This window comes from Homo sapiens, chromosome 12, assembly GCF_000001405.40.
Source record: "Homo sapiens chromosome 12, GRCh38.p14 Primary Assembly".
Classification (NCBI taxonomy): domain Eukaryota; kingdom Metazoa; phylum Chordata; class Mammalia; order Primates; family Hominidae; genus Homo; species Homo sapiens.
Window position 1 is genome coordinate 78,323,792 of NC_000012.12, and position 9,783 is coordinate 78,333,574.

The window sequence follows — 9,783 nt, forward strand, 5'->3', positions numbered from 1 at the left end:
GCAAAGGGGAGCTAATGATAAATGTTTACTTTTCATCTTGATCTGTCTATGAAGACATGAATCTCTTTATTTCTCCTTTTAGATTCTGTTTCACTGAAGCTCAAAGATAGTAAGGACCCCAGGCATTTCAGCATGTCTGCACTTACTGGCCTATTTCTTTAAGTGTGGAACTGGCAACTGTTACAATTCCAGCTTGAAATGAATATATATATAATCGTTCTTAAAATGCAAGCTGTATCATGTATGTGTTTACTCATATGATTGTTCACTGAACATAGATAATAACTGACTTTACTATTATTGCTGTTTTAAAGATGAGTACTTAGAACAATATTAATGACCTGATTTTGAACATAAAAAAGGTATTTTCAAAGTTTTAATGGTTGTATTTTGTGTTTTAACTAGATAGACTATTTAAATGCAATCAATTTTAATGGATGAGCTTCTTGAATACCATTCTTTCTAAAAAGCTGTTTCTACAAGTTCCTATTGTCACTGATAGCTAATATTTACTTTATACTCTTAAGCATTTGGCCAAGGGATAGAAACCATTCTAGGCTTAACCCCACAAGGGCTCTAGTTCTATAATAGAAAACTGTTGCCACAATCCATCAATTACCACTTAGTGATCTCATTCATGCCCTCCTTCCTGTTCCCAAGGCTACCATCCTAGTTCAGAACCTCATACCCTTTCCTTGACGTTTCAATAGCCTCCTAGCTCAACCACCCAGGCGTCTTACTCATGGTTTCCAAATTAATGTCCTTCAAAGTACATTTTCTCATGATGCTGCTTTCTTACACATGCACATTGACTGCTAGTTTAACAGATATTATAAATACTTATTCAGTTCAGGAGCTGTGCCAGGCTCTGCTAATATAAAAATGAATAAAACAGAATTCCTGCCTTTGAGACATTTATATGTTCCCAGGGGAAATTTTTATGCAGTATCTACTCTGTAGAATTTCCTAGAAATTAAATGCATAACTTTATGGCCACACTGATATGTCTTTATATGTGTTTTACACACACACACACACACACACACACACACAGAAATATGCACATGCATAATACAGTCAGTTAGGATGTGTGGATATGAACCTGACATGGGTGTGTGAGAAAATCACATTGTATTTTATATGCAAATTTAATTTGTAATCTGAGCATTCATTCTATTCACATGATAGAAATGTACTAACAATTTGGGACTTCACTAGATTGTTGGGTAAATTCTGGGAGCTTATATACTACCTCTGTAGAGGAAAGGCATGTGATCTTCCATGTTGCCTAAGTGTGCTGGCGCTCATTAAGTTGACTAGTTGTTTTGTCGACACAGGTCTCTGTTAAAAAACATGCCTTATTCTATCTACCTGGCCAGGTGAGCCCTGATCCACCAGTCCTCTATTTTTTTGTTTGTGATTCCTAATCCTGGAACATCCCGAGTCTCTTCAACCTACTCTCTCAAATGTTTGCTTTATGCTTAAAATTCTCCCCCTTTCTGTAAATGGCTTCTGTGCTTTTACAAATCAAAGGCTAAATGGCTTCCATGTTGCTTTCCTTTCCACTGTCTGAGTACTGAACACCACAGTGACATGAAGTAGGGGAGGAAGTTTGTGAGGGAAGAGCAGAAGCTGAGCAGAGGGAAAAGAGGGAATTTACAAGGGGGAGATTGTTTAATATATCAAAAATAATTCATTACTTATACATACATGAAAACCATTATATATATATCTAATATATGTAATATTATATTGGCCTCTTATACTATAGCAGAAGGTATGATGCTACTGTGTCACTTATAACTCTTCTCAGAACCCACAGGCATGAGCAGCATATGCAGCAGTGCAGAGAGGCCTATGGGCATTTACAGTGATGCCAAACATTGCAGTATTTATGGGTGTCTATTTAATTATATTAAATCCTGTGCTATTTGCTCTGGGCTAATATTTGAGATGCTTTTAAAGAAGCTTTTTCAGAAATCCATAATCTGATCTGGAACTCTAGCATTTCATTTTTAAGCCAGCATCTACCCTGATGTATTATAAAATATTTGCCAGTTAACCATGAGTAGCACTCTTAAGATTCTGATGTTTAGGCTGGGCGCAGTGGCTCATGCCTCCCAGCACTTTGGGAGGCTGAGGCGGGTGGATCACGAGGTCAGGAGTTCGAGACCAGCCTGACTAACATGGTGAAACCCCCATCTCTACTAAAAATACAAAGAAAAAATTAGCCGGGCATGGTGGTGTGTGCCTGTAATCCCAGCTACTCAGGAGGCTGAGGCAGGAGAATCGCTTGAACCCCTGCAGGAGGAGGTTGCAGTGAGCCAAGATCGCACCACTGAACTCTAGCCTGGGCAACAAAGCGAGACTCTGTCTCAAAAAAAAAAAAAAATTCTGATGCTTAATATTGTTTTCCAATCAGCCATCTAAAATAATAATGATAATTCTTTTAATTCACTTATTGAGTGTTATGTTGTTTCAGCTATAAATAAAATGATTTTATGTGAATTATTTCATTTAATCCTCACAACGATGCTGTCGTATACTCTATTTTGTCCTATCTATTTTGTGGATGAAGAATGAAGGCTTAGAGAATTACTCAAAATTACGCAGCAAACTGTCTGTAACTTAACTTCAGACTAATGTCAAGCTTCTATCGAGGGAGGAGAAGGAGGACAGATGAAAAGAAATGTGATTAAGTCCTATGGTATACAATTTTGGTATCTATAAATTGGCCTAATAGTAGCATATATCTTATGGAGTTTGCATATTAAAAATAGTTAATGTAAATAAACCATTTAGCATGTTGAATGGACCTACTAAGTATTCAGTAATTATTCATTATTAACTTTTTCATGAAATAATATAGGAATAACTGTGGAACAATAGGTGTGCAAATATTTTATTTTGGGTATAATTAATGTAACAGAAACATAGTTGAGACACTGCTTCTCACAAATCATTAATGACCAGTGATGTCACAAACTATGGTGTTCATGCCACTGAAAGGATTATCTCTTAATTATCTCTTTACTTACTAATAACTGTTATCTCTTTCTTTTCTTCATATACTGCTTTGTGATTTTTCCTGTGCTCACTCACTCTTTCTTCCTCTCCATAAAATGTCTTCACATTGTCTGATAACTTTTCTTTGTTTCCCTTTCTTTCCATCCTTTATTTTCAGGCTCTTGGATTTGACATTGAAGTTAGGAACCCATCCAGTAACTGATCTTCTCATCTGTAGCCTTAGAGACTGAACTTCTCCACCAAAATGTTAATCAAGCAAATAATTTCTACCAGGACAAGATGAAAATAGATGAAAGCACCTGCCCCCAACCCCATCCAAGTTCTGAAAATTGAGAAGAAGAGTTTTACTATTTTTGTAGAATTTTTTTCAGTATGAAATCACTTTTCTCAGAATGACATCAATCTGGAGATATTTTTGATAATGACAAGGACTTGACAGTAAACATGTTTTATGATGTTCCTTTCTTGAGAGATGGTCTTCCTTGTATTCTCATTATGAGAATTACGGTCTTCCTCATATTTCCAACTCCTGGCACAGTGACTGGCACATAGTAGGTGCTTAAAATTTGTTGAAAGACAAAATAACAGTAATTATAAGAGTTATATAAGTATAATTATAATCATGGCATGTGGATCAGTACCCATTTGTGCAATATACCTGTTGATGGTGTTTAAACTCAGTCTCATCAATTCTGGGTGACTTACTGTCAGAAACATATTCACATACACATCTCACAAAAGGCAGAAGCACATACACATACACACCTCACAGACAGATTCCAAATCTAATTTAAACAATAATGTAAATATTCACCTCATTCTGCAAGTCTTATATTGAAGACCCTATGCACAAATTCATTTGACTCTCCAAAAAGGCCCAACACTTTTCAAAACTGCTTCACTACTTAAGAATGTCCTAGGGATAGGGATAGGGAAGAGTGAATATTCTTCGCTGTTCGCGGGCATGTTCTAGCTGGACTACTTGAGATACTGTTAAGAAGCTTAGGCAATCTATAATTATTATCTGAGAATTCTGTGTTTATATTTTTGGATGTAGCAAAGAAACTTCAAAATTTGACTTCAAAGAAGAACTCTGAATACCAGATGATTAATATTTCACAAAAACAAAGAATAAATTGAGAAGCAAAGGAATTCATTATCCTTGCAAAAATAAAATTACTTATGTGCAAATATGAGAAAGGTCATTGTATCTGATGCTGGCATTATGCATAAAGAGATGAGGCTTCTTTTGATGTGTTTATTATAATGATTTGCCATGGGACTGAGTTATGAAATCATGGCATGTAATTAAAATGCAGAGTCTCTGAGTCCTGTAGTAACATGCTAGTGGGCTTAAAGCAACCTCAGACCCACTCTTGGCTATTTGTGAACATATTTTATGTTTAGAGAATAAAAAGAAATTAACTTTTTATGTATCAGATGAGTAATCACATAATAAAGCATAATTGCTGTGAGACAATTAACATCTCAATATGATTTGATATTTGCTATCCTGTAAAAGATTATTTCCTGGACCTTATCATGAGAGTATTAAAGTTGAAAGTTATGAAATGGAGTACAGAGTATTATAGTGATCTTACATAAAAGATTTAGGGTCAAAACACATAAATTCACATTCTGGCTTTCTGCCTTTTTCTTCTGATAAAACTCAGCAAATATTGATTTTTCTGAGCCACCATTCTTCATTTTTAAATAGTGGAAACAATATCTATTTACCTATCACAAAGAAGTTTCATAACTAAAATTAAAAATTTTAAATTGTAAAGAACCTATTAATGGAATGCAAGTTATGCTCTAAAATACTAATTTTTGTTATTGCAAAGTATTAGTAAGAGTGAGATATTCTCCGTGACCACACTGAAATGGAAGTGATTCTTATGACACCTGCTGATTTCTATGTGGCTCTGGATGGATTTATCACAACTCTAAGAGACATTTGTGCAAATGTGGCTTTGGTTTCAGTTCTCAATCTGATGTTTTTATCATTTTTTATATAAGCTTTTTGAAAACAGATAGGTTTCCCAAGCGTTTTGCCATTTACCCTTTATGGATCTATGCAAGAAATTTATGCGTGCGATTTTTATTATCTTAAGGAAATATTTGGAACAATTTTACCCTTTCTTTTGATCATATTCTTTGGCTCATTTAAGAGATTGCTATATTACTTGGTGAGTCTAAAATTGAGTATCCTGTTTATATATCTGAAACAGGTAATGGGTAATATCACCTTGAGTCTGGCAGTACTCGAGAGGAAAAATTACATTGATTCTCTGACTTGAGTAAGAATATCTTGTTCACAATATGTTTGTGAAAACTTTTTCTACTCTTCCTTTTGCCCTTTATGACTGTCATATCTCAATTCCACAAATTCAGGGTAAAAATGAGCTTCTAGTCATATCTAGGACAGTTATCCCAAAATATTTATTTAGATATTTAAATCATCCCTAAGCTAGAGAAGATGTGAAATAGCTTTAATTGACTGAATGACTTTGCATTTCTTTCAACAAAATAAATCCCTGTATATGGTTCAGGAATAACTAGATAATATATTTAAATATCTTGAGAAAATAGAGTCAGCAGTCCTGGATTACCAGCTGTGTAACCTTGAGGGAGTTAGCCAACCTCTCTGACCTTCAGCATTCTCTTCCACAAATAAGAAGAGGGATAATAATACCTAGTCTAGGCACACAGATTTGTGGTAAATATTATCCTTCTTCTTATTTATAAGAAGAGATATGAGATCTCTGATATGAGAATCTCTTCTTATAAATAATAAGAGGGATAATAATACCTAATCTAGGCACACAGTTTTGTGGTAAATATCAAATGATGCTTCTACATGGTGCAAGGATGAACTGTTAAATATATACAGTTTTTTCATATTAATGGATAGCTTTATCACACTAGAAACATTATTCAAATGCATTTCAATATGGAGGGCTCTCTTGAAATGCTTTTGTTGAAAGAAAGCCTTCCAATTTCTAACTATCTATTTTGTTTCTCCTTTCTTGTATCCTCTTTCTATGTATATCTTTTCAATGTAGCTGTGACTATCATTTGATTTTCAATCTTCTTTTTCCCTCATAGTTTTACTTGTTGGAATTTTCCTGTAATACACTAATCTATTTTCACCATGCCTGTCTACTAAATCATATTCCTCACTGTGGAAAATTATAACAGCATTCACCTAATCACTCATGCCAGAAATATTCCCTCTTTATTTTCTGCATTGAATAGATTACCAAGGATTGTTAAATGAACCACTCTAATATTCCCCAGATCTCTCCATAAACAGTCCTTGTTCAGATCTCTCTCACTTGAACTATTATAGGAGCTTCTTAACTTTCCTGTGTTCAATCTCACCTCAATCCAATGTATCCTCTCCCATTCTGTTAGGGTGATCTTTCTACAATTTTTGGACTTTCCTTTCCCATGGCCTGTAATTTTTTATGGGTTCCTGTGCTTTGCAGGACAAAGTACAAGCCTCATATTATGGCAAGCTGATTTCATGCTGCTTTCCCATATGCACCTCACTCTAGGCATGCAGGCCTGGTGGGATTTCCCAAAATAGATAGTGAACTCCAAAATTCTCTGCCTTTGTGCATGTCCTTGAAATATTTCCTCTCCTTTTCACCCCTCGTTACCTAGGAAGATGCTCACCTCAAACATAAATTGTGCCTTGGGACTGTTTGAGGCCTATAATCATCTGTGATTTTAAGGAATCCTTTATATTCCAGGACTACGGCCTTTAAGAATTTTATTATGTCTATTTTTCTCATATTTGCTCTCCTTGCTAGGCTGAGCTTATTCTTCTCTTGCCTTTTTAAGAGAAGGCCTGTTACATGTTTCCTGAGAGAATGAATTAATGGTAACTCAGTGTAGCCTTTCATTACTTATCGGCTGCAATATAATAAGGAAAGGAGAAAGCAAGAACAATCTTGGGAAATGGGAAGAAAGTGAGACACTGGTGACAATAAGCTGCCATCTGCCTTGACAGAAAGAAACCTCTCACCCTGTTTGTTTTGTGCCTCAAAAGAGATTCTTTTTAGCTCATGTAGTTTGTGACAAGTTAAGGCCTGTCCTCTGTTTCTTTATTTTGTTTTTAAAGCACGTTTGCAGGCATCATCGTGTAATGAATAATATATCACGATGATTTTTTCCAAGCTTTTGAATTAGTATCTGCTTTACTTTTCCATGGAAGCACTGAAAATGAGTGATTCCTACAAATGATACTTTTTTCATTTTGAACAATAGCCTTTATCTCTCTAATCTAAACATCTTGGTTGCAAGTTCACAGTTATTACTAACATCAGATAATAACATATTTTGAAATAAATATATTTAATACTTTTTGTCAGGTTATTTACTATGATATTATATCTATTACTTAAAGCTAAAAACAAATATCTAAGTAACATGTTAATAAGATTTAAAAGCAGCATATTGTTATCAAAGAACCCTGAATTGCAAGGGTGTGATCATATTCCCGAAGCCTGGGACTCATCATGGCAGGGAGCTAGTGTACCATATTGTCATGGCAACAGGATGCCTTCCTAGGTTTAAATTTGTTTGTGTTGCTGATCCATAACTTTAAAAGCTTATCCAGAGCTTTTAAAGAACAAGTTGTATTGCTTCTGTGGTTGATGCCATATGCTAAAATTCATGGCTATTTCACGAATGGTAATTTGAGTGTTCTTTACTTTTTTTTTTTTTTTTTTTTGGTCTCCAAAGTACAGTTATCAAACTAAGATTGTTATGCCTGAGTGTTTTGTTTTGTCACTGTGTTGCTTCTATATATACAACTGTGAGGAGAAAAATTTTCTTCCCTATATTTGTTATAGTGAGACTCTGGATTTTTGTTTTGGATGTAAATACAGATATTATTTTATGGAGGCAATAATGAAAAACAGGAATTTTAACCTGCTGAATATTCAAAACTTAATAACCTTAATGTGTTGTTCCAAAAAGCCAAAACCTTGCAGCACTCTGAATTCTTTCTGCATGGCAAAGACACTTCTGTTGCCAAGAGATTCTCTGTAAACAGTGAAGAAAAACAATGATCAATGGTTCTGTGCATTGCCTAGCAGAACGTCCTTGACATCCCTCGCATTGCAGCACAATGCTGACAGCTGGGTTCTCATTTGGAAGCAGAGAACAGAGAGCCAGGGAGGTAGGAACCACAAAGGGTTAGGAGAAAAGGAGGGTGGATAAGCGGGAGCAGAGGAGACAAGAGAAGGGAGAGAGGAGGTAGGAGGAAAGAGATGAGTATTTGTTGTTGTCTTTGAATTGTTAACCCCTTAAGAGTTAAAGATGGAAATCTTAAACATCAATATGCACTATATTATTCCCTCCAGTGAAGCAAATTGCTTTTGAAAGTTAGTTTTGTCTTTAAAGAGGCATACAGATGAAGGTTATGGAGTGAATACAAAATAAAGAAGGTCCTCTGTGATGATATTAATCCTGAATTAAAAGGAAAGGCAACTGTAGATTAAAAAAAACTAAATAAATAAACTGGAACAAAATTTTACTGTGTGCCTTTTTTTTATTGCTGATTACTTGTCTCCGTGCATACATACATGGGTGATGAAAAAAATAAGGTTCAAGATATTCAGTATGGTTTTGAAGTGGGCCTTAGGTGTTTTTGTCTTGTCACTATTTTTATTTGATGTTTTTCTACTTCCTCCTAGGTATACTGTAGATTACAAGAGTTAAAATCTTGGAGTTCTTATGCCCATTTATCTACTATCAGTTTACCAAGAAACATAACTTTTATTTCATAATTTATAATTTGATTTTTAAACACTCAATTTGTGAGTCTAATTGTAATTAGTATTTGTAACACCTAAAGTCATTACCCATATGGTTTAGGAAAGCAAATGAGAAGTATTGTGTTAGATAAGAATAGAGAAACAACTGTTTGGTCACCAAAAGTTAGTTCTTCACTTCTATTATTGGGAAACTGACTAAGCTTCTAATATTCCTGTTGATGATACAGTATGCCCATTGCAGAAAGATAGACAAAACATTTCAATAGCACATCAAGCCAGATGTTCAAGTATATGATTTCCTCAAGGTCCTTGACTGTACAATTTTCTTCTAGGTTGCTCAAACTTGGGACCATTTATTATAAACACTCAGTAGATCCCTGATGACCTGAAAGAGGGTACTGTTTCTCTAAATATCCAGCTTCTTGTAAGGAGATAGCTTTTGGTGATGGAATTTTTTTTCATATATTTCTGTTGATATTACCATTGTATTAAGTATGTATCCTTATACCATTGTTTTCAAAGAGCCAGTATTTTATTTGAGGTGGGGTGCAGTAAAGGTCCAGTCTTTTAAAAATACAGCTGGATTCCTTTCTACTCCTCCCCTTTCTTTCCCATGCTTGCGTTAAGGGAAGAATGAGCTCAGACTAATTTGAGGGACGTAGAATCATCACCAGAAAAAGAGAGTTTCACTTCTTCAAAGACTATTATTTGTAAGGAATATGCAATCATGTTATCATTGGTTGAATGGTGGTTCCCCAGAACATATGTCCATGTCAAATCTCTAGAACCTATTAATGTTATCTTATTTGGTAAAAGGGTCTTTGCAGATGTGATTAAGTTAGGAGTTTTGAGATGAGATCACCCTGGATTATCTAGGTGAGCTCTAAATCCAATTACAAGTGTCTATATAAGAGAAAGATAGAGGGAGCTTTGAGACAGACAAAAAGTAGAAGGTGATATGATCATA

General features: G+C 34.9%; 1 long non-coding RNA gene across 1 annotated transcript in view; it reads right to left on the reverse strand.

The window, feature by feature from the left end:
• Positions 1-2,888: 2,888 nt before the first annotated feature.
• LINC02424 (long intergenic non-protein coding RNA 2424) overlaps positions 2,889-9,783 on the reverse strand; it is a 33,067-nt gene continuing 26,172 nt past the window's right edge. The window contains exon 2 of the long non-coding RNA NR_135021.1: positions 2,889-3,585. This is a non-coding gene — a long non-coding RNA (long intergenic non-protein coding RNA 2424). The remainder of the gene's footprint in view (positions 3,586-9,783) is intronic.